Source organism: Homo sapiens, chromosome 17 (assembly GCF_000001405.40).
Source record: "Homo sapiens chromosome 17, GRCh38.p14 Primary Assembly".
Classification (NCBI taxonomy): Eukaryota; Metazoa; Chordata; class Mammalia; order Primates; family Hominidae; genus Homo; species Homo sapiens.
The window spans coordinates 82006678-82031195 of NC_000017.11; the positions used below are offsets into that span (position 1 = coordinate 82006678).

At 65.2% G+C, this 24518-nt stretch overlaps 3 protein-coding genes across 12 annotated transcripts in view, besides 10 other annotated features; 2 read left to right on the plus strand and 1 right to left on the minus strand.

The window, feature by feature from the left end:
- Positions 1 to 10729, plus strand: part of ASPSCR1 (ASPSCR1 tether for SLC2A4, UBX domain containing) — a 39778-nt gene extending 29049 nt beyond the window's left edge. For 2 of the 5 annotated variants that reach the window (NR_045351.2, NM_024083.4), the window contains 9 exons: positions 2360 to 2514; positions 2809 to 2890; positions 4125 to 4191; positions 4866 to 4928; positions 5554 to 5606; positions 9799 to 9850; positions 10123 to 10192; positions 10264 to 10436; positions 10632 to 10729. Coding sequence is in view for 3 of the 5 variants with exons in the window: in NM_024083.4 (NP_076988.1) it covers positions 2360 to 2514; positions 2809 to 2890; positions 4125 to 4191; positions 4866 to 4928; positions 5554 to 5606; positions 9799 to 9850; positions 10123 to 10192; positions 10264 to 10436; positions 10632 to 10645 (729 nt within the window). In the remaining 2 variants the exon portion in view is untranslated. Of the gene's footprint in view, positions 1 to 2359; positions 2515 to 2808; positions 2891 to 4124; positions 4192 to 4865; positions 4929 to 5478; positions 5607 to 8397; positions 8680 to 9798; positions 9851 to 10122; positions 10193 to 10263; positions 10437 to 10631 lie in introns of those variants that run through there. The other 3 variants (NM_001251888.2, NM_001330528.2, XR_001752618.3) reach the window with 3 other exon arrangements.
- Positions 1471 to 1971: an enhancer, noted in NCBI's record as "H3K4me1 hESC enhancer chr17:79966024-79966524 (GRCh37/hg19 assembly coordinates)". NCBI's record gives its function as "activates a minimal SCP1, AML or CMV promoter by ChIP-STARR-seq in naive H9 embryonic stem cells {active_cell/tissue: H9 hESC(naive)}" and the evidence as "EXISTENCE:reporter gene assay evidence [ECO:0000049][PMID:30033119]".
- Positions 8320 to 9041: an enhancer, noted in NCBI's record as "H3K4me1 hESC enhancer chr17:79972873-79973594 (GRCh37/hg19 assembly coordinates)". NCBI's record gives its function as "activates a minimal SCP1, AML or CMV promoter by ChIP-STARR-seq in primed H9 embryonic stem cells {active_cell/tissue: H9 hESC(primed)}" and the evidence as "EXISTENCE:reporter gene assay evidence [ECO:0000049][PMID:30033119]".
- Positions 8996 to 9290: a silencer, noted in NCBI's record as "tiled region #10297; K562 Repressive non-DNase unmatched - State 18:Pol2". NCBI's record gives its function as "represses a minimal TATA promoter and a strong SV40 promoter by Sharpr-MPRA in K562 cells {active_cell/tissue: K562}" and the evidence as "EXISTENCE:reporter gene assay evidence [ECO:0000049][PMID:27701403]".
- Positions 9765 to 10486: an enhancer, noted in NCBI's record as "H3K4me1 hESC enhancer chr17:79974318-79975039 (GRCh37/hg19 assembly coordinates)". NCBI's record gives its function as "activates a minimal SCP1, AML or CMV promoter by ChIP-STARR-seq in primed H9 embryonic stem cells {active_cell/tissue: H9 hESC(primed)}" and the evidence as "EXISTENCE:reporter gene assay evidence [ECO:0000049][PMID:30033119]".
- CENPX (centromere protein X) lies at positions 12026 to 16201 on the minus strand. 5 transcript variants are annotated; one of them, NM_001271006.2, is made up of 5 exons: positions 16149 to 16201; positions 13181 to 13232; positions 12964 to 13017; positions 12616 to 12704; positions 12026 to 12542 (listed from the first exon to the last, which is right to left on the minus strand). In NM_001271006.2, the coding sequence occupies exons 1-5, from the start codon at positions 16182 to 16184 to the stop codon at positions 12528 to 12530; spliced, it is 246 nt and encodes an 81-aa protein (NP_001257935.1). In that variant the 5' UTR covers positions 16185 to 16201; the 3' UTR covers positions 12026 to 12527. The 5 variants fall into 5 exon arrangements, with proteins under 5 accessions (NP_001257935.1, XP_024306407.1, NP_001317465.1 ...); XM_024450639.2 differs by having other exon boundaries at positions 12631 to 12704; positions 12833 to 13017; NM_001330536.2 differs by having other exon boundaries at positions 12833 to 13017.
- Positions 14456 to 15128: an enhancer, noted in NCBI's record as "H3K27ac-H3K4me1 hESC enhancer chr17:79979009-79979681 (GRCh37/hg19 assembly coordinates)". NCBI's record gives its function as "activates a minimal SCP1, AML or CMV promoter by ChIP-STARR-seq in naive H9 embryonic stem cells {active_cell/tissue: H9 hESC(naive)}" and the evidence as "EXISTENCE:reporter gene assay evidence [ECO:0000049][PMID:30033119]".
- Positions 15892 to 16941: a silencer, noted in NCBI's record as "silent region_9179". NCBI's record gives its function as "represses an Ori minimal core promoter by ATAC-STARR-seq in GM12878 lymphoblastoid cells {active_cell/tissue: GM12878}" and the evidence as "EXISTENCE:reporter gene assay evidence [ECO:0000049][PMID:35858748]".
- Positions 15892 to 17601: a biological region, named in NCBI's record as "H3K27ac-H3K4me1 hESC enhancer GRCh37_chr17:79981231-79982154".
- Positions 16628 to 24474, plus strand: LRRC45 (leucine rich repeat containing 45). Of its 2 annotated transcripts, NM_144999.4 has the most exons (17): positions 16628 to 17186; positions 17601 to 17662; positions 18016 to 18086; positions 18323 to 18501; positions 18702 to 18830; positions 20222 to 20334; positions 20709 to 20767; positions 20997 to 21074; positions 21334 to 21469; positions 21557 to 21634; positions 21720 to 21831; positions 21936 to 22006; positions 22416 to 22508; positions 22866 to 22958; positions 23388 to 23561; positions 23642 to 23789; positions 23932 to 24474. In NM_144999.4, the coding sequence occupies exons 1-17, from the start codon at positions 16967 to 16969 to the stop codon at positions 24126 to 24128; spliced, it is 2013 nt and encodes a 670-aa protein (NP_659436.1). In that variant the 5' UTR covers positions 16628 to 16966; the 3' UTR covers positions 24129 to 24474. The 2 variants fall into 2 exon arrangements, with proteins under 2 accessions (NP_659436.1, XP_047291520.1); XM_047435564.1 differs by lacking the exons at positions 22866 to 22958; positions 23388 to 23561; positions 23642 to 23789; positions 23932 to 24474 and having other exon boundaries at positions 22342 to 22464.
- Positions 16678 to 17601: an enhancer, noted in NCBI's record as "H3K27ac-H3K4me1 hESC enhancer chr17:79981231-79982154 (GRCh37/hg19 assembly coordinates)". NCBI's record gives its function as "activates a minimal SCP1, AML or CMV promoter by ChIP-STARR-seq in primed H9 embryonic stem cells {active_cell/tissue: H9 hESC(primed)}" and the evidence as "EXISTENCE:reporter gene assay evidence [ECO:0000049][PMID:30033119]".
- Positions 23096 to 23619: an enhancer, noted in NCBI's record as "H3K27ac-H3K4me1 hESC enhancer chr17:79987649-79988172 (GRCh37/hg19 assembly coordinates)". NCBI's record gives its function as "activates a minimal SCP1, AML or CMV promoter by ChIP-STARR-seq in naive H9 embryonic stem cells {active_cell/tissue: H9 hESC(naive)}" and the evidence as "EXISTENCE:reporter gene assay evidence [ECO:0000049][PMID:30033119]".
- Positions 24217 to 24506: a silencer, noted in NCBI's record as "silent region_9180". NCBI's record gives its function as "represses an Ori minimal core promoter by ATAC-STARR-seq in GM12878 lymphoblastoid cells {active_cell/tissue: GM12878}" and the evidence as "EXISTENCE:reporter gene assay evidence [ECO:0000049][PMID:35858748]".

Below are 24518 nucleotides of genomic sequence, written 5' to 3' on the forward strand. Positions count from 1 at the left end.
GGGAATTCCCCCAGGGGCCAGGCCTTGACTGCCCTGCAGGGCCCTCGCTGTCGCTTTTTTCCCTCACAGTGTCTCATCCCTCAACCTCTGTTTTCCATCCAAAGGCATCTCTGTGAATCCACCTGGCGCGGGAGCGGCGCTGATGCCACAAATGCGGGCCAGACTGCTGGGCAGAGCTCACCAGTCAACAGGGCTGGGTGTGGCTGGGGCAGCCCTGAGACCCCAGGCCCTGCCGCTGTGGCTCCCCCTTCCTGGCCCCTCTTCTCTGTGGGACAGAAAGTCTCTCCTGGGGAAGGCTCGGAGCTGAGCTGATGGGTGTTTGAAGTTTCTCCACACACAGGGTCCCCTGGCATCTCCCTCTGTCATTTGGTGGCCAAGTGACATTTCCCAGCAGCCCTACTGCAGACGCCATATGTTCTCGGGGTGACTCAGGTGGCCTGGGCCCTTCTGGTAGCCGCTTATCCAGCCTGACCCCAGGCTCCAGCGAGGCTGCTCCGGATCGGGGCTGCTCTGCCCAGGTGAAGGGCGGGTGTGGGAGGTTTCCGTAGAGGCCGCTCTCCCCTGCTACCACGGCCCCGTGTGGGACCCTGGGTCTGTCTGACAGACAGAGGCTTCCTGAGCCAGGCCCTTGGGATGACGGGTAGGAATCTAGGGTGGATCCACAGGAATTAGAGATTTTTTCAGTTTTGTTTTCCAAATGAAGTCAACAGCCCCCTAGCAGCGTGATGCTGATGGTCCTGTCCCCTATGGCCCCCATCCTGGAGGCACCCTGGTGTGGGCTGTGGGCCTGGGGGTCCTTGGCACTGTCCAGTATGCGGACGTGGCAGCAGCCCACATTTCCCCCAGTGACCACCAGGCTGTGCCCTGGACGTGGCCGCCTGAGCACGGCATGTCCTGGGGCCCCGTCTGGTGGTCAGGCTCAGTACGAGCCCATCAGGGGTACTCTGCCCGCCTGGGAAGACAGTGTGGCTTCTGGGGGCTCCTCCAGGGAGGCTCTGGACCAGGCTGCAGAGGATGCCAACCTGCCACAGGCTGGCCTGGCCGCTCATGGACATGGCGGCTCCTGGCCCAGGGTCTCTCCCCCGGGAACCCAGGCGTGCTCGCGGCCCTCTGGAATGCAGGCGCTGGGGCTGTGGGGGGCCGCCTGGCGCCTGGCATCTTGTTATAAAAAGCTCTGGCGCAGGCTGCTCTCAGTGGCTGCAGGATGGTTGTGGCTTTGGAAGGGCAGCCCCCAGGGGCCTTGGTCAGCCACCTGTGGGCCCCACTGCCGAGCCGTGGTCAGCCCTCACTGGCTGCCCTGCCATGACGCTGCTGAGGTCAGTGCAGCTCCCGCCAGACTCCCGTGACAAGTCATAACAGAGCCACATGCTGGGTGGCTGCAGGGCCCTGTCGCCCACAGCAGTCGAGGTCTCAGGTGTGTCCGGAGGGCAGCCCTGGAGACACCTGGGACAGGCGTACCTCTGGCAGGCGCACCCTGGCTGTCACCCAGTGTGGGCATGGTGGGGGTGCTGGAATGCTGTGTAGGGCAGGAGGCAGCAGCCCGTGGCTGGGTGGGAGACTGCAGGGTAGACGGGACGGGACCAGGAGGGTTGTTCGCAGGGACTGCCAAGCCATCCCCAGGTGTCGAGAGTGTGAGGTAGGAGTGGGAGCCCAGAGCCGGCTCCAGGCCACCCCAACTCCCGACAGCTCTCGGCTGTTCTGTGTGAGGGGGGACGGGGCCGAGTGTGGGTCGGCGCAGTGCTGAGGTGTCCCACGTACCCCAGCACTGTGCTGAATGCATTGAAATCACTGCCCAGGGCTCCGCGAGCTGCACGGCCCGGCTTTGTCAATTTCATTGCTGTTGATGCCAATTAGGGGTGACGCTGTCCCTCCCGCATCCCAGGGTGGGCAGAGGGAGGGGCCGGCTTGTTCCCTGGGGGCAGGCGTGCATGGATTCAGCCTGGCCATGGAGCTGTGGCCAAGAGGGCAGCGGGGGCAGCTGGACTGGGGTTTTTGCCGACGCTCTAATTTGGCGGCTGTCGCCACCCCTCCCCCCCATGGAGACCCTGACGTGGCCTGAGCCAGACTCCAGGGGCCATGTGCCCTGCTGGGGAGCAGGGGCTCAGCATCAGGTCTGGTGCACTGACTGGGAGAGGGGGGTCTCCAGCCCTGGACAGGCTCTGAGTGGGGTGGGGTCCCCCAGCTGCTGTGCCCAGCCCTGCCCCCAGGACCTGGCCTTGGCCCTGCGCTGGCCGGGGCCAGGGAGGGAGTGGGCCCAGCTCCCAAGTCTGTGTGACCACCTCGGCTGGGGCACTGACAGCCCGGGGTGCGGAGGGCCCAGCCCGTGACACCCGCCGTCAGCCGCGCCCTCTGCCTCCAGCCCGTGGACCGGGAGCCCGTGGACCGGGAGCCGGTGGTGTGCCACCCCGACCTGGAGGAGCGGCTGCAGGCCTGGCCAGCGGAGCTGCCTGATGAGTTCTTTGAGCTGACGGTGGACGACGTGAGAAGACGCTTGGCCCAGCTCAAGAGTGAGCGGTGGGTGCCCCCTCAGTGCCTCCCGGCATCTTCGCGCCAGGGTTTGCCCCATCGGGTGCTTGTGCTGCCCGCTGTCCCCAGTGCCAGCACTGGCTCCCGGCCCAGGTCCCTGACAGGCTGCCCTTAACAGGACCTCAGAGGGTTGGGGCCCAGGGAGGGGCGTCCAGACCTTCCTGCCTTGTGTGGGGAGAGCAGCCCACTCCCACCCTGGAGGGTGCAGGTGAGGAGCCCGGGGCCTGTTGCCAGGGCCCCCATTCTGACCAGAAGCCCTGTTCCTTCCCCTCCTCACCACAGGAAGCGCCTGGAAGAAGCCCCCTTGGTGACCAAGGCCTTCAGGGAGGCGCAGATAAAGGAGAAGCTGGAGCGCTACCCAAAGGTCTGCAGACAGGATGTGGGGGCGACTGAGGCACAGCTCTGAGGGGGCCCCCCGTGAGGTCTGTGGACGGGATGGGGCGACTGAGGCACAGCTCTGAGCGGGCCCCCTGTGAGGTCTGTGGACAGGACGTGGTGGCGACTGAGGCACAGCTCTGAGCGGGCCCCCTGTGAGGTCTGTGGATGGGACGTGGGGGCGACTGAGGTACAGCTCTGAGGGGGCCCCCTGTGAGGTCTGTGGATGGGACGTGGGGGCGACTGAGGCACAGCTCTGAGCAGGGCCCCCCCGTGGTGGCGCGCATGCCCTTAGTGGCCAGTTGATCCTCCCCTGCTCATGATTTAGAATGAAACCTTTTTTTTTTTTTGAGACGGAGTCTCTCTCTGTCGCCCAGGCTGGAGTCAGTGGTGCCATCTCAGCTCACTGCAAGCTCCGCCTCCCGGGTTCAAGTGGTTCTCCTGCCTCAGCCTCCCAAGTAGCTGGGATTTCAGGTACCCGCTACCACTAGCTCGGCTAATTTTTGTTGTTTTTTTTTTTTTTACTAGAGATGGAGTTTTACCATGTTGGCCCGGCTGGTCTCGAACTCCTGACCTCAGGTGATCTGCCCGCCTCGGCCTCCCAAAGTTCTGGGATTACAGGCTTGAGCCACCACACCTGGCTGAATGAAACTTTAAACAGCACATTTGAGCCGGGCGTGGTGGCTCACGCCTGTAATCCCAGCACTTTGGGAGGCCAAGGTGGGCGGATCATGAGGTCAGGAGATCGAGACCATCCTGGCTGACACGGTGAAACCCCATCTCTACTAAAAATACAAAAAATTAGTCAGGAGAGGTGGCGCACGCCTGTAGTCCCAGCTGCTCGGGAGGCTGAGGCAGGAGAAAGGCGTGAACCCGGGAGGTGGAGCTTACAGTGAGCCGAGATCATGCCACTGCACTCCAGCCTGGGCGACAGAGTGAGACTCCATCTCAAAAAAAAAAAAAAAAAAAAAAAACCAGCACATTTGAACCCAGGTCAGTGTGGTTTTAGAACGCAGGCCGCTGTGCACACACACGGCACTTGGCTGTCTCCATGCCCAGCCTGCCACGGGGGAGTCAAAGCCCAGGCCCTGATTGGGGGTGGCTGCTTCTGCCTGCCTCAGCCCTGGTGTCCATGGCCCAGCATGGGCCGAGTGGGGAGGCCACGCCCTGGTCCCTGGTGCAGCTCCGGCCGTCCCTCCAACCCTTCCACTTGTCTGGCCTAGGTGGCTCTGAGGGTCCTGTTCCCCGACCGCTACGTCCTACAGGGCTTCTTCCGCCCCAGCGAGACAGGTGGGCAGCGCTGTGGGGTGTCCGGGGATGGGGGGCAGGGGCCCATGGGGCCTCTCCCGGCTCCTTCCTTCCAGGCCACAGGACTGCAGCCACCTGGCCTGCGGGCTCCAGGGCACTGGGTGGGTGCGGGTGCTGATGTCCCCTTGGGGGTGCAGAGGCATCCCAGTTCGCAGAGTGTCAGGCAGGCTGGGCGCTTGCTCCAGGTGCCCGGCCCCAGCTCAGGGAGCCCGTGGTCCTGAGTGCTCACGTCGCCCACCTACTGGGCATGGGTGGGGCAGAGGGGCACCCAGAGGAAGGCACCCTACCCCGGGAGGAGGGCAGTGGTGCTGTGACATTCAGGGGCTTGTGACCTGTACCCAGACGGCCGGGCGGCAGCAGCCCAAGGTCACAGGGGCCTCCCCCAGGGAAAGGGAAGCGCTTAGGCTGGGGCGGGGGTGGGGCTGGGGGGCAGCGGGTGGCAGTGGGAGTGCTCTCCAGCAGGGCGGGGGTCCCAAGTGTGGCCCGCACGGTGGCCCAGCCACGCCGAGCACCTGGAGTGCTGTGGGAGGAACAGGGCTGAATTCCCACCCCTCGGGGAAAGGCCCAGGAGGGTGGGAGCAGTGGCCCAGGTGCTGGGGCAGCCCGGGGCTGGCGTGGTGGAAGAGCTGTCTGTATGTTCTTTTTCTCCTCTGCAGTGGGGGACTTGCGAGACTTCGTGAGGAGCCACCTGGGGAACCCCGAGCTGTCATTTTACCTGTGTACGTTTTTTCTCCTGAGCCCACTCCTGCCTCCAGTGCTCGGGGCCTTGGTGCTGTGGGCACACCGCCCGTCCCAGCTGGGGCTCGTGGCAGCTTCTCCACAGGAGCAGCATCTGTGGCCTCCCGCCCAGGTGCCTCCTGCAGCCCATGGTGTCTGTGTGGAGACCTAGGAGGGCCCTTCTCCCCGAGCCAGGCGGTGGGAGCCAGGCTTCCTGCCTTCTCTCTCAGCGCCCTGCTCCCCTCTGGAGCCCTGCTGCACCCCAGCCTGGTCCCCACCCCTGGGGCTCAGGCCACTCCTGCCCGAGGGCTGTGGGAAGGGTGGGTGGACAGGGAGTGGCTGGCCTCCCTTGGAGGGTGTCTAGGTGGCAAAGGGTTAGGCTGCCCACTGCAAGGGGAGCCGGGCTGCACGGGTGGTGTCCCCTGCAGGTGGGCCTGCCCCCCACCGGCCCTTCCGAGCCCTCAGCTGGAGTTTCTGCAGCAGGAGTGTGGGCACAGGGCGTGCTCGTGAGGGGCTCTTCTGCCCCACTTGAGGCGTCACCCCCATCTGCAGGCCTGTCTTCCTTCGGGCGCATGGATGGGCGAGGTCCACGGTGCTTCCTAACACGTAGGTGCCTTCTCTCCTCAGTCATCACCCCTCCAAAAACAGTCCTGGACGACCACACGCAGACCCTCTTTCAGGTACCTGAGGGCCTCCCTGGGGTGCTGCGGGGCGGGGCCCTCCAGGGAGGGCAGGACGAGAGCGTGAGGCCTCGGGCAGGAAGGAGGGGCCTGGCAGGCGCTGGGGCAGGATAATAAAGCCTTTGAGAGCCGGTGGGTTCCGAGGGGGCCGTGCGCCTCTGAAGTTGCTTCTGACACGGCTTTCCGGCCTCCTCTGCTTCCTGCCTGGCCCCGGGTGGGAAAGGACCTGCTAGGCGGCCTGCCTGAACTGAGGCCGCTTGGAGGTCTCGGCCCCCCTGGGCTGCTGTGCTGGGGCCAAGGCGGCAGCAGTCCCTGCCCAGGGGTCTGGGTGAGGAAGGGCCCGGCAGGCCTCGGAGCAGGGCTCAGGGAGCCCCAGAGGGACCAGGCCCTCAGCTGGAGGCGGCCGCCTTGGGCTTCAGCTGCCCCTTCCCCCTGCCCGGCCTCTCCCGCTGGCCCCCCGGTCCCTGCTAGGAACGCCCTGGTGCCCATAGCTGTCCGCTGCTTCTGTGGGTCCCTGCCACCTCCCTGAGGGCTCCTGAGGGTGGGGCCAGGGTGAGGGTGCCGGGTTCCCAGCCCTGCTGGGCCGCCCTCCAGAGCCAGAAGCAATGAATGTCCTGTCCTTGGCCTGTGGGAGAGCTGCCTGGGGCCTTCCGAAGCCCTCTGGCCTAATGGTTTCCTCTTCAAAGCCTCTTCAGATATTTTAATTAGCCACAGAGGCGGGTTTTTTTTTAAGTGGCCACAGGCCTCTACAGAGGCCTGGGTTGGAGGTGAGAAGCTTGCTCACTGCCTGGGGCTGCAGCCGCTTACTGAGCTGGGGCAAGAAGGCTGGCAGCTGCCAGGGGTGATCAGGAGCAGGACTGAGCGGGATTCCCTGCAGCGGAGGCAGGGGAGGGGTGAGACAGTCCCCTCTCAGCCCCCGAGCTGCCGGGCGGACTCCGGGCCTCCTTCCTCCGTCTCCATCCCCTCCCTTGCTGGCCAGCCAGTTGATAAACATTGAATTTGGAAGATGCCTTGGGATGGAGGAGGACCAGTGCCCAGGCCTGCAGCCCACCCTCCCGCTGGGAGGCCCCTGAGAGCACTGGGGTGCTGCTGCCCTGTTTCTGGGGACGCTTGGCTTCCCTACCAGCCACCGTCTCCTGCCCTCCATCAGCTCGGCTCTAGCCTCGGGGCCTCTCGGGGTGGTGTCCCCGGTGACGTGCCTGCCTGCCTGCCTGCCGTCAGAGAGCTGGCGGGGCTGAGGGAAGGAAGCCTGCCTCCCTGGCAGGCAAGCAGGCGGCGGGCGCGGAAGCACCAGCTTTCACGTCTCTGGCAGAGCCCCACTCCGGCTGCCTGCTGCCTGGGGGATGTCCAGGGGCCGGCCCCCGGCTTCCGAGAGGGACAGCGTGCGTGGGTGTGGGGGCTCCGGTAGCCCGGCAGCCCTCTGTGGCCCTGGCCCAGGAGAGTGCAGGTTTTCTGGGAGGGCTGGGAGGAGGCGGCCAGGAGTGAGGACAGGGAATTGTGAGCAGTGTGGGGGCACCACTGTGGGGAACAAAGCCCCCCGCCCCTGCCTGAAACCTGCGTCCTGGCCCTGGGCATCAGGGCTGGCCCTGCCCTGGTGTCCTCACACAGTCACTTCTGTGTGCGGTCCGCGTCCTCAGGTCATGAGGAAGGTCACCCTGGGCTAGGCCCACCTTTGATGTCACGGTCACCTCACTTATCTCTTCAAAGGCTCTGCTGTTTGGGCTTCCTTCCATTGGCTTTGGCAGGGCAAGCCTGGCTCCTAACACCCTCCGTTTGTTGGAGCTCTCAGGCTGCCTCTGGGGACCGTCTGCCAGGACACAGGCCACCCTTGCTGCCTGGTTCCCCACTCCCCAAGCCACTCACCTGGCAGGGCGTGACTGGCACTTCTGGCCTGAGTGCCTGCTGGGCGCCCGCCCCTAGCCAGTTCTGTCGTCCTTCCTTTCCACCCAGGACAGCCCCGTCCTGCACTGCCGTGTCGCCCACTGCCGGGGCCTCTCTGGGACCAACAGGCCCCCTTCCTTCCACCCACCAGGCCCTACCCCACCTGGACCCTCTGAAATGTTCCTCGTTGACAAATGGTCTTGCAGAAGGCAGGATGGCTCCTGCAGCCCCCACTCCCGCTCTGTGGGTGGATGCCCCGTCTCTCCCTGCCCAGGCACCGTGGTGCCTTCTCTCTCCCGGGCACCGTGGTGCCACCTCCCTCCCAGACACCATGATGCTGCCTCCCTCCCGGGCTCTGTGGTGCCATCTCCCTGCCGAGGCACTGTGGTGCCGCCTTCCTCCCGGGCACGGTGGTGCCGCCTCCCTCCCAGGCGCTGTGGTGCCGCCTCCCTCCCGGGCGTCTTGAGCTGCAAGGGCTCCTCTCTTGGCTTCGTTCCCCGGAGGGTGGTGCTGTTCTCGTTGGAGGGGGCGGCCAGGCGCTGGGCCACGTGTGCATGCAGCCCCTACAGAGTTGCTGCCCCGTGGGGGTTGACGTGGGCCTCCTTTCGGAAGCTCTTCCTGGCAACACTGAGTGGGGCAAGGGGTTGGCAGCAGAGAGGCGGCTGGATTTGGGGCCCCAGTGTCCTGGGCGGCAGCTAGGGAGGGGCCGGCTCCAGGCCCTCAGGCTGTGTCAGGGCAGGGCGGGCACCCCCACTTCTCCCTGTCAGCCGAGGGAGCCAGGCAGGGGCAGCCTGAGACATCCTGGGACAGTGCTGGTGGGGAGAGGCCCCTCAGCCTGTGCCTCCCTCAAAGGCCCTTCCCGGGCCCTGCTCTGGCTGGGGGGACGGTGTGACCCACTTTCCCTTTCCAGCCCCAGCTTGGTGACCGGGTGGCTCCATTCACCCTGGGTCCCTCGCTGAAACGGTGCCTGGGACCAGAGCAGAGAACACGCTTGCCAGTGGTAGGAGATGGAGGCGACGTGGACTCTGGGAGGCTTCTTTTTTGGGGTCCATCCAGAGGCCGAGCCTCTCCAAGCACTGGTCAGCCTCCATGCCACCCAGTCTGCCGACCCTCCTCTCCACCATCCCCTCGTCCGAGCAGTGGCGATCCCTCCCGAGTCAAGGCTGGGCACAAGCACGTGGGGACAGGCCGGGTAGGCTGCCTGGCTCAGTGCTCCCTGCACAGAGGCGCAGACAGGGAGCCCAGGTGCCCCAGGCCTGGCTGCCAAGCCTACTTCCCTCTCCTGGTGTTCCCGAGTCCTGCCCGCCCCTTTCTGTGCGTCCCGTGGGGCAGTGCTGGTTGGGGGTCCTGGCCTGTGGGGGCTATGATGAGAACCAGGTGCCTCTCTGCATCGGTGGCCTCTGAGGGAGCCCTCTCGCCCGGCAGCAGGTGGGATGCAGATGGGGCTGGCCAGGGCTCCTGTGCCCACAGCAGCCTCTGGGCAGTGTCCCCTGGGCTTCTGTGAGCAGCCGCAGCCTGGGTGTGAATCTTGGAGGCCCGGTGGTGGCGGAGCATGCTCTCCATCTGGGAGAGGCTGAGACCATGGCAGCTCCTGGCGCTGTCCTCCCCGTGCCCCCTTCCTGGCTCCCCAGCTTCCGGCGCCTCTCCAGGGCCACTCGGGCAGCCCCTGCCCACCCCACAGGCCCTTCTCTGCTCACAAGGCTTTGATCCCAGGCGGCACAATTGGGTTTTCAAAGCATTCACGGCCCTTGTTTGTGTCCCTGGGCCCCCGGCTGGAGGCTGAGGTTTCGGCGTTCCTGGGCCTGGCCTTTGAAGCTTCCTCTTATTAATCTTTTAACATCCCCCAGCCCCACTCCCACCCCCAGCCTGTGGCCCTGAGCAGCCTGGAGCCGGGAGGGGGAATCTGGAGCTGGGAGGGGGATACCCCAGCCTGGCAGCTGCACCCCTCCACGGTGGTCCCGGCGCATCCGCCAGGACCCGCCACGCCTGGCCCCACCTTCCTCGGGTGCAGAGGCCAGAGGAGGGAGGACGGTGATGCTGCATGGCTTGAGGACCCTCGAGGCCCCAGCCTTCAGCTGGCTTGGGGCTTGGGGTGGTCCCATGGAGGGCGCTGGTCCCAGGACGCCCTGGCCTTGCTTACAGGGGTAGGGCTGGTGTCAGACAGGAAGCTGGGCGATGGGCTCATGGGGGCCGGGCAGGCAGAGCCTGTCTGAGGGTGGAGCTGGGGCCTGGCCCTGGGGGTGTAGCTGCCTTCACAGCAGGGGGGTGCTCTGCCCACACCCGGCCCCTGAGCCCCCCGCCCTCCCTGCAGGCGAACCTCTTCCCGGCCGCTCTGGTGCACTTGGGAGCCGAGGAGCCGGCAGGTGAGTGTCAGTGGTTGGGGCCAGTGTCGGAGTCCAGCCAGCCTGTCCCTGGACCTCAGAGCCAGCTGCCCGGGAGGGCGTTCGGTCTGGGGCCTCCTTTGGGTCTGAGAGGGAGATCTGCGGCCCCCAGTAACCACCTCCCCGAGAGAGGACTGGGACAGCCACCTGCTGGCCACCCCCCTCCCAGAGCTGAGTGCTGGTGGGCAGATGCTGGGTGGATGGTGAGTGGACCCCTCCTCAGAGGCTCAGGGTGAGCTTGGGCCTCCCTGCAGGTGTCTACCTGGAGCCTGGCCTGCTGGAGCATGCCATCTCCCCATCTGCGGCCGATGTGCTGGTGGCCAGGTAAGTGCCGGTGGGTCTGGGGGCACCTCCCGTGGCGGCACTCACCACTCTGTGTCTTCGCCTCCCCACAGGTACATGTCCAGGGCCGCCGGGTCCCCTTCCCCATTGCCAGCCCCTGACCCTGCACCTAAGTCTGAGCCAGCTGCTGAGGAGGGGGCGCTGGTCCCCCCTGAGCCCATCCCAGGGACGGCCCAGCCCGTGAAGAGGAGCCTGGGCAAGGTGCCCAAGTGGCTGAAGCTGCCGGGTACTGCGGCTGGGTGGAAGGTGGGGTGCTGTGGCCGGGTGGAGGGCGGGGGTCCGGGTGCTGTGGCAGGGTCAGTGGGCTGGGGGGCTAGGTGCTGTGGCCGGCAGGGCCGAGTGCTTCAGCCGGGCTGGTGGGCGGGTGGCCGGGTGGTGAGAGCCCGGGGTGTGTGGTCACCCTGATGTGTCTGCACTACAGCCAGCAAGAGGTGAGAGCTGCCAGCCTGAGGTGCCCACTCCGCCAGCCACAGGACCACCTCCTCTGCCAGCAGGAATAAAGACTTGTGCATCCCTCAACGCCTTCCTGTCATGCTTCCTCCAGAAAAGGGCCCCCGTCGTCTGCCCTGGCTCAGCTGGACCGCAGTGTCCAGGCCTGAGAGCCTGGTGGACCATGGTGTGGGCCCCTGAGGAGCCTGGTGGACCGTGGTGTGCATCCTGAACCCGCGTGGGTCTCCTCTTCGTTTTTAACCTAACAGTTATTTACACTTCCTCCAAGGAGAACAGAAGTGCTTGAGGAAAGTCTTTTGGGGGAAATCACCTGCAACCCAGGAGCCAAGCCCTGGGCCAGGAGCTGGGGGAGGAGCTAGTAGGTCACCCCACATCCGTAGGGCAGGGCCTGGCCTCAGGCCTCCTGCTGCCCCCGAGCGGGCTATAGTGCTGGGTTCTGGCCCTGGTCCACCCTGCAGCCAGCCTCCCCAGCAAGTCTGATGACTTCTACAGGCTCCCAGGGCTTTCAAACTGACCTACTGAGGTGGGCAGGGCGGGGAAGGGGTGGATCCCAGCAGCCCTGCCTGCCCGGGGCCACTGGGGCTACATCGAGGATGAAGAGGCTCGCCTCAAAGTTGTCTTCGGGCACCAGGGCAGGAGAGAGGCTGGGTCGCCTCCGATGGTTCCCAGGGGCAGCTTTTGTGCTTCCCACCCTGGGGCCTGACTCCCTACCCTTTCCCCTCCCTGCACGGGGCTCCAGGATGGCGCTCAGCTGAGAGCCCCTGGGGTGCTTCCAGTCCTGGGCTCTGACAAGAGAGAGAACGTGAGGTGGGCTGGAGGGGAAGTGGTCCAAGGCCCTGCCCGCTTCCCAAGCGTTGGCACAAGTGGGGCTTATGCCAGAGGCCCCTGAGAGTCAGAGGGCAGCCAGACCTGGGTGGGGCATCCAGACAGGTCCCACAGCCCTGCGTCTCCAAGGGTGGGCAGGGGGCGTGGCCCGAGGGGGCTGACCTGCACCTCTCTGGCACTGCTTGGGAAAAGAGGAGGCCTTCATTTCAGCAGGGCCTTGGGCCAGGGTCCCTCTCACCCTGTGCATCCTGGTCCTGCCTGTGACCACAGGAACATTCGTGGAAGCCACTGCCCACTGGTGGCAGCCCCCGTGGCTGCCCCAACCCCTGGGGTAGGAATAACATTTCCCAGGCAGGTGGCCACATGTACGTGGTCCGGGCTCCACAGCGCCTGGGGGTGGGGCCGAGGCACTCGCACACATGCTGTTTGTTAGTGCATCCTCCTGGCGCTTTGCTTTCTTACCAGGAGTGGAAGGGCACACACGGGAAGTGCAGCTTTGAAGCAGTTTGACTTTGGTGATTAATGGCAAGAAAGCCAAGCTGGGAGAGACAGTTTTGATTTATTGATGTTGCTTTGTGAGAACAAATTTATAGCCTGGGGAAGCATCTTCCAAGGGGAATATCGCATGGCTGGAAAGGTCACACGCCAGCTTTGATGTCGGGTGGCAGGAATGTGGGCAGGAGGCAGCGCTGCCAGCTGCTGTTTGTCAAACACACAGGCTACCTGCTGGCCAGGCCTTTCCCAGCACCTGCCTGTAGGACCCCGGGTGGCATGCACACTATTGTCCCAGGGAGGAGAGGCAGGGACTCCCCAGGTGCTGCCCCTTCCCACACCAGTGTCCCCACTGGACACTCCAAGGCCCGCAGTGCACTGCAGTCCTGCCCCTTCTGCACAGGCTGGAGACTCCCAGAGATCTTGTTTGAATCAACTCCAAATCCTTCAGGTCCTTCCCTGCCTCTTATCAGAGGCCGCTGGAAACACAAGGCCTGCTTCTGTGGACCAGGGGCTCCTCTGGGGGTGGCCTCAGCCACGGCTGAGATCCCTAGAAGTCCAGGAGCTGTGGGGAAGAGAAGCACTTAGGGCCAGCCAGCCGGGCACCCCCACTTGCGCCCCGACCCACGCTCACGCACCAGCTGCGGAAGCACCTTCTCCAGCTGGTCCACGTCCACACGGAGCGCGTCTTCTGCCTGGGCCTGCCGCACGCCGCGGACTGCTGCTTCTGCGGTGAGAAACGCGAGAGGTGGGGGATGCTGGGGGGATCTTAAACCCGAGCCCAGTGAGGGCCTCAGCCTGGGCCGGTGCCCCCCCCAACACCCACGGGCAGCCCCCAGAACCAGGCCACAGCACCTGACAAACAGGCTCAGGAGACCCAAGTTTAGGCCCTTGTGGGAAACGGGAAAACACGTCTTGGTTTTCCCGCTGGAAAAACGCAAAATTCCGGATGCTGTGCCCGGAGGGAGCGTGGGCCCTGGGCTCACCCACAACGAAGACCTTCAGCAACTCCACCATGAGCTGCAGCGCGTCCCCGCTCACTGCAAGGCAGGGGGAGGTTATGCGGGACCCTCACCCACCGCTCTGGCTGGGTGCTCCAGACATACCCCCGCCCTCCCGAGGCCTTGGCCCTGCAGAGTTGCAGGAAAGGGTCCCTGAGGACAGACACGGGGACCCACCTCCCGCCCGCACCCCCACCCGCACCTTTGGTCTTGTCATCCTTGAAGTGCAGGTGCAGCAGCCTGCTCACCAGCTCCTAGAAGGGAGGGGGGTGTCAGCGCCACGCCCCGCCCTCCCCCCCGCACCCCCCAGGGTGGTGACCATTCTGGTGACAGTGGCTGTGACTTCTGGCTGGAGACGCCCTCTGTGCCTGAGCCTCTCCCAGGGCAGGGGACAAGGGCCAGCCTAGTGCTTCGGGTGGCAGAAGCTGAAGCAGATGCGTGGGCAGCTCCACTAGGGGGCGCCAGGGCCCTGCACAGGGTCTGGGCTGGGAGCCTCCCTACGGCGTGAGTGGTCGCAGACACGGGAGCAGGCCCCGCTGCTGGGGCTCCAGGGAGAGAGTGGAGAAAGGCCTCGTCGAGTCCGGCCTAATCTTGCACTCCCATCCCCGGCAGAGGGCCATGGCTCTGCTCTCCTTGTGGGGAGGCAGGGAAGGCAGAGCCCGGGTTGGGTCTGGAGGCTGGAGGTGGCTGCTCTGCAGGTGGGCTGGCCTGAGGGAGTGCCACCAGTAGGGCCTTCCTTGTGCCAACTCTGTTCTGGGTGCTGGGTCAGCTCCGCCCGTCTTGCCCTGGTGCTCATGATCCTGCAGGAGGTGCTGGTGTCCTGGGAGCGCAGAGCGGGGCTGCGCCAGCGTGGTCCACAGGCTGGAGTGAGGGGTGGGCCAGACGCTGAGGGCCCAGGGCATGATGAGCTCTCCGTGTCTCCATGGCAGGAAACTGGGAGTCCTCTCTAGGTTTTTGTGGAAAGCAGCACTGGCGTTGGAAAGGACCACTCTGGCTGCCATGCCCGGGGTGGGGGGAAGGGAGGGGGCTGCAGAGCCAGGGCCTTTCTGCCTTTCTGATGGATGGAGGACGGGGACAAGGGAGGAGTCTACGCCAAGACCCCAAAAGGACGGCACTGCTCTGAGGAGATGGGGGGCCGTGGGCAAGTGCATTTTGGAGCTAGGACACAGGAGATCAGTTTGGGATGCGTTGTGTGTGAACACAGGAGTGGTGGGTGGCAGCTGCAGTGGTGGCGGCCGAGACTCAGGAGGGCAGCCCTGGGTGGCTGGTGGAGCCATGAGACTCAGTGAGGTGGCCCAGGCCAGGCACCGGCCCACAGCCGCCGGGAAAGGAGCCAGCACGGAGAGTCCAGGACTGGGGGTGGGGGCAGTGGGCACCCAGGAGCCCAGAAACAGGCCACTAAAAGGGCAGGTGGGTGAACTACCAGCCAGGCCACCAGCATCGGCCACAGGGAGGTCACAGCACCTCACCCAGAGCAGTCCAGCAGGTGACAAGCAGAGCATGGACGGGTGAAGCCCTAAGATGCAGATGGTGAAGAATGTTCCCCAGCAGCGGGCAGCAGGGTCCAGCATCCCGGCTTGTCCAGCATCCCGGCTCGTCCTGAGCCCTTGCTGTTCCCTAGCCAGGGTCCCAGTCACCACCCGCATGAGCCCAGTGCCACCTGCTGGTCCTTCCAGCTGCTTACTGCCAGCAGTACCAGAAAGGCACCAGAAAAGGTAGAGAAGGCACTATCTCCCCACCTGCTCCGGGACCCCCAACACTGCTGCCCCAGGCCTTGGAAGGAAGACCACGCCAGAGAGTGGCGGATGCCAGGTCTGCCTCGACAATCCATGGGGCTTCCCCGTACATCGGCAGTGGCCTCGGAAGGCAGGCCCAGCACTGGGGCGGTTGTGGAGGGTGCCTAGGACACAGCCAGCTTTGCCCCATGACGTGGGCGCCACGCCAGGGCTACGGGCCCCCCACTCCCCGTCATTCTCACGCTCATTCTCTGCAATGACCACAACTCCAGCTCTGGCCAGAGCCCCTGGGCCTCTAGTTGTCAGGTGGGCTTGATAGAACACATGACCTCCTGGGGTGTGTACCCAGTGCCCCGTCTCCGGCAGTGGCCTTTTGGCTACTTTAACCTGGTGTTCTCACAACCACCCAGTGAGGTGGCCCAAGCCTCAGTGACTTTCTCTTTCTGAATTCCGGCAAGAATCTTCAACTCCACCACCAGAGTTCCCCACACCGACACCCCCCGCCCCCCACGCCTGCTGCCTTGGGTGATAAAGAAGGGCCTGATTCAGGAGAAACAGAATTCTCCCTGCTTCTACAGGGCTGAAGTCCTCCCTCCAGGATGGGTTCACAAGGGCCTGAGACCCTCCCTTCCCAGGCCACAGAGGCCCACGAGGCCCTGCTGACATCGAGGAAGCTCGGTGCCCCAACCTTCAGGTAGAGCAGTAGAAAGGTTCAGAAACCACTCTGCCTGCACCGATGGGGTCCTCTGCACATGGCACCCCCAGAGAGCTCCACTTCCAGGAACAGGGAAGAGCAGGGCACGCCCTCCAGCCTGGGCGGATCCTGGCTCAGACGGCCTAGGTCTGACCCTAGCCCTGCTGAGTCACTTAACGCCCCCGTGCCTCAGTTTCTCCACTGGCAGGTGGGGTTAATCCCTGTCAAGTGTGTGTAACGTGGAGCACCGAAGAAACCACGCGTTCCTAGCCCAGTGCTGGCGCCCACCGGGGAGCAAACAAAAGGGAAACCACTGTGCCTGGCGGCTGGGGTAGGTCCTGCCGGCTCCTCGGGCTGGACGATCTCACTGTCCCCGTCCTGGGGCCTCATCTCCCCTTAACAAAAGACCCCAGGCTCAGGGCGCAGGGCGGCGGCCCAGCTCCTCCTCTCTCTTCGCCGGCTTGGACTCCGCCGTGACGGCGCCCACCCCTGCCTGTTTCTGCAGACCCTCTCCACCTTCCCGCAGCCCCGGCTGCTCCACGCCCCCTCCTACCAGCTGCGAGACACCAGCCCACGAGGGCGCGGGGCGCGCGGCCCGGCCGGAGATGGAGTCTGAGAACGGGCCCAACCTCAAAGGCACAGGGGGCGGCGCGGGGGCTGGCGTCTGGCCCTCACAGTGTCACGCGTGAGGTCGGGACGGAGCGTCCGCGCCTGCCTAGCCCCTGCCCTCCGGCCCTCACCTTCCGGAAGCCGGATCCAGCTCCTGCTCCCTCCATGACCGCAGCCTCAACGCGCGCCCACCGGAACCCCGCCCCGCGCCTCCAGCCAATGAGACCGGAGCGCGCCCCCGGAGCCCCGCCCCGCGCCCCTAGCCAATGAGTCCGAAGCGCCTGCTCTCGGAGCCCCGCCCCCACGTCTCAGCCAATGAGCCCGGAGCGCGCCCTCCAGCAGCCCCTCCCTCACGTCCCGCAGCCAATGAACTTGGAACGCGCCCTCCCGGGGCACCACCCTCACGACCCTCAGCCAATGAGCCCGGAGCATGCCCTCCCGGGGCCCCACCCTCATGCCCCTAGCCAATGAACCTGGAGCGCGCTGCCCCCTCTCAGCTTGCGGCCCGAAAGGCGCGCCAGTTCCTTTGTTCTCATTGGCCCGCACCAAGCGCTGCCTGCGCAGAGCCTGCTAGGAGTTGTAGTTCCCGCGGCCTCTCCCGGCGCGCCTTGTTCTTCCTGGATACTGAGGCCCCGACGCGGCTGTCGCGAGGGCGGGGGTCGGGGCTGCAGGCGGGGCAGGGCTGGGTGGGGGCGCGCGACGCACCTGCCTGCTTCCTGCACGGGTGGTCCCCAAGCACTGCGGGGCCCCAGCCCAAAGCGGACCTTGACTACCGCCCAGCCCCGCGCTCCCAGGACCTCCCGCCCGCGGAGCCCACTCGGATTGCTCTCCGCCCGGGTCGGCGGAGGCCCCGTCTCCTGTACCCGGCGCTGGGACTGCTCCGCACCGCGCGGCTCCCTTTCAGCAGCTGCGGGAGCATGCGGAGGAGGCCCTGCCGGCCCCGCGGGTCATGGAGGAGTTCCGGCGCTCCTACAGCCGCCTGTGCAGGGAGAGTGGGGCCGAGCCCCAGGAGGCTGTCCTGCAGCAGCTGCACCAGCTTCCCAGGGGCCGGCTGGACCTGGCCACGCAAAGCCTGACGGTGGAGACCTGCAGGGCCCTGGGCAAGCTGCTGCCGAGGGAGACGCTGTGCACGGAGCTGGTCCTGAGTGACTGCATGCTCAGCGAGGAAGGTGGGCAGGCGCGGCGGGGTGGATCCCTCTGCTCCTTAGCTGCCCACACCATTGCCTCGGCAGCCCGAGGTCGCTTCCTCTCCAGGCTCTCCAATTTCTGTGCCGTAGTTAAAGCGAGCAGGGGCGCCCCTTCCTGCACCTGGGAGTAGAGGGCAGTTCCTCTGTATGACGGGGGAGAGGCCTTAACATTCGCGGTCTTACCTGGTTCCCCGCGTGCAGAGCCGGCTTGGTGCCTGGCAGGGGCTGCAGGTGTTTCAAACATGACTTCGCAGCGAGACTCTTGGCCAGCGCCAACCCAGACCATCGGGACAGTTGTCCCTTCCTGGGTCTAGGGAGCTGCCCTGAAAAGGGGCCCACGGGGAGGGCCTTGGGGTCAGCAGGGGCAGAGAGTGACCGCCGGCCCCCCTTACACAGGGGCCACACTGCTGCTCCGAGGCCTGTGTGCCAACACCGTGCTGCGCTTTCTGGACTTAAAGGTGAGATACCTGCACTCTTGAGTGTCCGAGTGTGCCACCCAAGGGCAAGAGGAGAGGTGGAAGATGCCAGGTCTCGGGGGCCTGGGGTCTGGGCAGGTGGCTGGAAGCTGTCTGTGAGTCCCCAGGCCGCTCTCTGATGGCCTCCTGTGTGTGACCATCTCCAGAGCAAGAGTTCACATTGGCAAACAAGCCGGCCCTTGGAAGCCCCCTGAAGACAGGGAGCCCAGGAGCTGAGGAAGGCTGCAGGGTGCACCCCAGGCTTGTCCCCTGGCTGACCAAGGCCCTTGGGGCATGGGCGGGAATTCAGAGCCAGTCAGGGCACGCGAGTGACTACCGGCCTGTTTCTCTCCTAGGGCAACAACCTTCGGGCTGCAGGGGCCGAGGCTCTGGGAAAACTCCTCCAACAGAACAAGTCCATTCAGAGGTGGGTGGTGGTCCCGACCCCAGGCCCTGTCTCTGTGTGGTTGAGGATTGGCCCCGAGCACATGCTTCTGCAGCCCAAGAGTTCCCCATTGCCAGGTGCCCATGTTTCACATACGTTGGCAGGGGTAGGCAGAGGCTCCGGCCCATCAGACCCCAAGCCCACACCCGTCCCCAAGCCCTGGACCCCACGGGCTAGGCAGTCCCCTAGGTGAACACTGGCTTCTGCCCCTCCTGCAGCCTCACGCTGGAGTGGAACAGCCTGGGCACGTGGGACGATGCCTTCGCCACCTTCTGCGGGGGCCTGGCGGCCAACGGCGCCCTGCAGCGGCTGGACCTCCGCAACAACCAGATCAGTCACAAGGGCGCGGAGGAGCTGGCCCTAGCCCTGAAGGGCAACACCACCCTCCAGCAGCTGGGTGAGGCCTCCCAGGCGCCCTCAGGCTCCCTCATCCCTCTGAGGCTGCCTCTGCTCTGGGAAGTGAGGGGCTAGGGGACTGGCCTGTGCTCCTGCTCTGTTGATGACTGCAAGGCAGTGCCCCCTAGGGAAGCACCCCGGCCAGGCCAGCTCCCCCTCTGCCAGGTGCATTCTGTCTGGTGACTACAGGTTTCCTTCCAGACCTGCGCTGGAATAACGTTGGCCTCCTGGGGGGCCGGGCCCTCATGAACTGTCTCCCCAGCAACAGAACCCTGTGGAGACTGGACCTGGCTGGGAACAACATCCCTGGAGACGTCCTCAGAGCCGTGGGTACGGTGCAGGGCTGTGTGGAGTGACGCGTGAGCCTTTGACAGAGGCCTGTCCACCGAGGGCGGGGTGCCGGGCTCAGGACGGGAACTGATGAGGAGAGCAGCCTGAGAGCCCAGGGGAAGCAGGAAGGAGCGGAGGGGTCGTGGGGCACCTGTTTGGCACTTGAATGGCGTTCGCCACACATGGGCACTGTCCGAGGCGCCCTGTGTACTTGCTGAGTTCTTAGGACCTGTGCAGTGGAGGGTGCCCGTTTCACAGCTGGGGAAGCTGAGGCCGTGTGGCTCACAGTCCTGGCCTTGGTGGCTTTGCTGATGCTTCGGGTGGCCCAGGTCTTGGCCTTGGCCAGGAAGGCTCCCTGGTCACCCTGAGTCTGTGGCCCTGCATGTGAGTCAGGTGAGGTGGGGCCCCCTGGCTTGTGCTGGCCTCCACACATTCCCTCCCACCAGCGACCCCGAATCCTTGCAGCTGATGTCTCAGCCTCAGGCCCCAGTGCCCCAGACTCAGCTGGGGACTTTGCCAGGCCCCCCGTACTCCCTAATCCGCGCACAGCGGCAGCCTCTTCCAGCCCCTGTGCTGAGGGCTCATCCCTCCTGCTGGTTCTGCCTGGCCTCTGACTCCAGCTGCGCCGTCCCTGGCTTCGCCTCGGCACTGCCCTGGTTGTTGTCATCCCTCCTGACCTCTGCCCCCTCGCCACATGCTACCCAGATCTTTCCAGAACTGAGCTGGGCACAGCATTTGCCTCAGCATTGTGCAGTGCCCCTTGACCTTTGGGATGGTGGCCAGATGCCCCAGGATGGCCCTTGCCTTTTGCGGTGGAGCAGCTCCCACCACCTCTGCCCCACATGTGCACGCGCTCCCCAACACCAGGCGGCTCTTGCTCACAGCCCGAACCCCACAAAGCACTTCCACCCCCATGCACTGAGGGGGCACCCCTGACTTGCCGGGTGAGACGCTGCCCCACACGGCATAGATTCCCAAGCAGCCAGCCGCTGGGTGCAGGGCTGGTGGCCACCAGCTACTCCTGAGGCTAAGCAGCCCCGGGGTGACACAGCTCCTTTGTGTGTGTGTGTGTGTGTGTGTGTGTGTGTGTGTGACTGAGTTTCACTCAGTCACCCAGGCTGGAGTGCAGTGGCGCAATCTCGGCTCACTGCAACCTCCACCTCCCGGTTCAAGCGATTTTCCTGCCTCAGCCTCCCGAGTACCTGGGATTACAGGTGTGCGCTACCATGCCCAGCTACTTTTTTGTATTTTTAGTACAGATGGGGTTTCACCATGTTGGCCAGGCTGGTCTCGAACCCCTGACCTCAGGTGATCCACCCACCTCGACCTCCCAAAGTGCTGGGATTCCAGGCATGAGCCCCTGTGCCCAGCTGACACAGCTCCTTCTGCAGAGCAAGCCATGGGCCACAGCCAGGACCGGCTCACCACCTTCCAGGAGAACCAAGCCCGCACTCACGTCCTCAGCAAGGAGGTCCAGCACCTCCGGGAGGAGAAGTCCAAGCAGGTGAGGATGGCGCCTTCACTGACCTTGGAGCTGCTTATGGCTGGAGGGCCTGGCCACGTCCTTCCTCCCTCAGCCCCGTGGTCTGCCCATCTTCCCTTCCTCGGGGCCCTGGAGCCTCTCTGAGTGGCTGGTACCAGGAAGGAGGGGCGGCCTCCTGGTCTGATCTGCAGGTGGACTTCCTTGGGGAGCTGGCGTCTGAGCCCTGAGGCCTCGCTCTGCAGGGGCCACCCTTCCTGTGAAGGAGACAGGGCACCGTGGGTGGAACCCTCCGCTGCCTTGCCACATTGGTGGGCGCTGGCTCTCCTTCCCCCTGAGAAGGTCAGGTGGACAGGCTGCAGGTGCCCTGACAGGGCTGCGGCTGTCTCTGTCCCCAGTTCCTCGACTTGATGGAGACTATTGATAAGCAGCGAGAAGAGATGGCCAAGAGCAGCAGGTGAGCGGGCCCAGGGCAGGGGCAGGGTGAGGCTTCAGGGATCAGGTCCTGGCTCAGACTCAGATGGGACCAACCTGAGCCCACGAGTGAGGCCACGAGGAGGTCGCTGGAGGCTCAGTGCCCAGGCGACCATAGATGCTTAAGGAACAGCAGCAGCTACCGAGGCCAGAGGGGTATGGGAGCGCTCTGGGGTTTGGGTTACTCTCTGCACCCTCCTCTCTGCCCACAGGGCGTCGGCAGCCCGTGTAGGGCAGCTTCAGGAAGCCCTGAATGAGAGGCACTCCATCATCAACGCTCTCAAGGCCAAGTAAGTGGGGGGTGGCCTCAGGATACTTCAGAGACGTGCCCACAGGGCAGAGAAAGGTGGTGTGAACCTGTGTGCAAGTCCTGTTTGCAAAGCAGAGGTGGGAAATGGTGAGGCTGGGGCAGTAACCCAGAAGCCTTCCTGGAGGAGGCGGGTGCTGGCTGGGGTTGACTAGGTGCCCAGCAACAGTGAAAGCAGCGAGGCCTTTATAAGGCAAGTGAAACTCCAACCGGGGCGGGGGTGCTGCCCCTCCTTTCTGCAGGCTGCAGATGACAGAGGCCGCCCTGGCTCTGTCGGAGCAGAAGGCCCAGGACCTGGGGGAGCTCCTGGCCACAGCGGAGCAGGAGCAGCTGAGCCTGTCACAGAGGCAGGCCAAGGAGCTCAAGCTGGAGCAGCAGGTGGGTGGGCAGGGCTTGAGAGGGGTGGGCCAAGGGGTGCGTGGCGGCTTCGTGACCCTCACTACCCATACCCCGTTCCCCTCCCAGGAAGCTGCAGAGCGGGAGTCTAAACTCCTCAGAGACTTGTCTGCTGCCAATGAAAAGAACCTGCTTCTGCAAAACCAGGTAGCTGTGGTGGATGGAGCCAGGGAGCCCAGGGTGGGCGCGGCAGGGCTGGGCTGCAGCTTCCCTCCCTGGTGCCGGCTTTCAGGTAGACGAGTTGGAGCGGAAGTTCAGGTGTCAGCAGGAGCAGCTGTTCCAGACCAGGCAGGAGATGACCAGCATGTCAGCTGAGCTGAAGATGCGGGCCATCCAGGCCGAGGGTGGGCACGGGCAGGCCTGCTGTGGAGGGGCCTGGGGATGGGCACCGGGGGACGGGGGCCCCCAGGGGATGCTCACGCATACTCTGCCCACCCTGGGCTTCCAGAGCGCCTGGACATGGAGAAGAGAAGATGCAGACAGAGCCTGGAGGACTCCGAAAGCCTGCGCATCAAGGAGGTGCCCTCTTCGTTGGCCTCTAATGCGCCTCAGTCTCTGGTCTTGGTGTCACGCAGGTGTCCCCAAAGCACACACCTGGTGGGAGCTTCCCTTGCCAACCTTGGGTCACTGGGTGGCCGTATTTTGCCAGCCTGAGCGGATGTCAGACCCAGAACCTCCTATTGGGGGCGGCGGGGGGACCCCGGCAATGTCTGAGCCGTAGTACAGGCTGCCGTTGAAGAGACACCAAGGCCCACTCGTTCAGGGTGTGCATGCTGCGGTAGTTTCCTGCTAGGCCATCTGAGGCAGTGCTTTCTCAGAATGAACAAGGTTCTCAAGAGACACCTGCCTTTCAGGGTGGGGAGTCCGTGAGGAGAAGGTAGGGAGGCCCGCTCTCCACTCTGGCCCCACAATCCCTGCCCCTGAGCAGGTGGAGCATATGACCCGTCACCTGGAGGAGAGTGAGAAGGCCATGCAGGAGCGGGTGCAGAGGCTGGAGGCGGCGCGGCTGTCCCTGGAGGAGGTGAGTGCCCACCAGGCAGGGCCAAGCTCTGCCTTAGTCCTGGGCTGAACAAGGCAGGGGCCCCTGGTGTTCGCCGCCTCAGGACCAGAGACCTCTTCCTGTTCCCAGAGGCTCATAGGCCCCACCTTGGGGACCCACCCACCAGTGTGCCCAAGAAGCTAAAGGGACTTAGGTGGCATTCGGACTTCCTTGGCCTTAGGAACCTTGCCCAGCGAGCTAGGTGGCAGAGCAGCTGCGTGGCCCTCAGGAGGCTGGCAGAGAGGAGCCCCCCTGGCTGGGGTTGGCTGGATGGGCCAGAGAGAGAAGGGCCCTGGGCCAGGGACAGGAGAACGGGCTGGCAGGTGGCCATCTGTGCAGGAGCTGAGCCGAGTGAAAGCAGCGGCACTCAGCGAGCGTGGCCAGGCTGAGGAGGAGCTGATCAAGGCCAAGAGCCAGGCCCGCCTGGAGGAGGTGAGCCACACATGTCCGCCACCCTCCGGGGGAGCCAGGCTGCCCGGCATTGCGGCCCGCATGCAGACTCCAGAGCTTCGGTCTGAGTGGGGAGGCGGGAGTGTGGTGTTGAGGTCAGATGAGCACACCCTGGACACTGGTGGGTCCGCTTCAGCCTTGGATCAGGGCCTGAGACGGTGGAGAGGTTTGGCCCATCTCTGCAGCCTGTGACTACACGCATGGATGGATGGGAGGGGTGGTGTGACCGAAGAGGGAGGAGGAGAGCCCAGAGGGCATCTGGAGGAGGTGGCTGCCAGGGGAGCGGGTTCAGAGTCATAGTAACTAGAGCAGCCAGTCCTGCAGAGAGGTGGGGTCGTGCCCGTGCAGACATTCCCTCAGCTGAGCTCAGGCTGAGCCCCTCATGCTTCGTGGCGGCCCCTGTGCTCACAGCAACAGCGCCTGGCTCACCTGGAGGACAAGCTGAGACTGCTGGCGCAGGCACGGGACGAGGCGCAGGGCGCTTGCCTACAGCAGAAGCAGGTGGTGGCCGAGGCCCAGACCCGGGTCAGCCAGCTGGGCCTGCAAGTTGAGGGCCTGCGGCGGCGCCTGGAAGAGCTGCAGCAGGTAGGCGGGGCTCCGGTGGGGGGCCCCGGGCGTGCTAGCCCCCAACCCTCGCCTCACTCCCCAGCCTTCGTGCCTGGCAGGAGCTGAGCCTCAAGGACCAGGAAAGGGTGGCCGAGGTGAGCAGGGTGCGCGTGGAGCTGCAGGAGCAGAACGGCCGGCTGCAGGCGGAGCTGGCGGCTCAGGAGGCGCTGAGGGAGAAGGCGGCGGCCCTGGAGCGCCAGCTGAAAGGTGAGCCAGACCCTTGTCCTCCCGCCGCCCACTGGTGGGACGTGAGGCCAGCCAGAGAGCGGGGCTGGCCAGGTCTCCCGTGCTGAGGCCGTGCCACGGTGCGCTGGGGCTGCGTCCGCTCACTGCGCTCCTTGCCCTGCAGTGATGGCGAGCGACCACCGAGAGGCGCTGCTGGACAGGGAGAGCGAGAACGCGTCTCTCCGGGAGAAGCTGCGGCTCCGGGAGGCGGAGATCGCCCGCATCCGGGACGAGGAGGCCCAGAGGGCGAGCTTCCTGCAGAACGCCGTCCTGGCTTACGTGCAGGCGTCCCCCGTGAGGACCCTGAGCCCCCCAAAGTGAGACAGGCCGGGAGGACCCGGGCGCAGTAGGAGTGCATCAGGCGGCGCCCGAGATGGACCAGGGGCTGCGTCCCGCCCGCGCCGCCTCTTTGAGACCCGGGTCGTCTGTTCCACGCGGCGGTTGCGGCGACTGTTGGTGGTGTCGCGGCTGCGGGGGAACCCCGTGGGAGGCGCCTGGGAAGGGCTCCCTACCGGCCCCTTCTTCCCGGTCGACGCCACGTGGGAGCACACCGGGAAGGGGTCCCGCGGGCGCGTCTCCCCCTCGCCTTTTGCGATGTCACCGTGAACGCTGCGGCCGCCTGCGCGCGGCGGGGTTTGGAAATACAGCGCGTTTGCACTTTGTGATACATTCTGGCCCCGCCTCTCCCTCCAAACGCGCGACCGTCCGTGC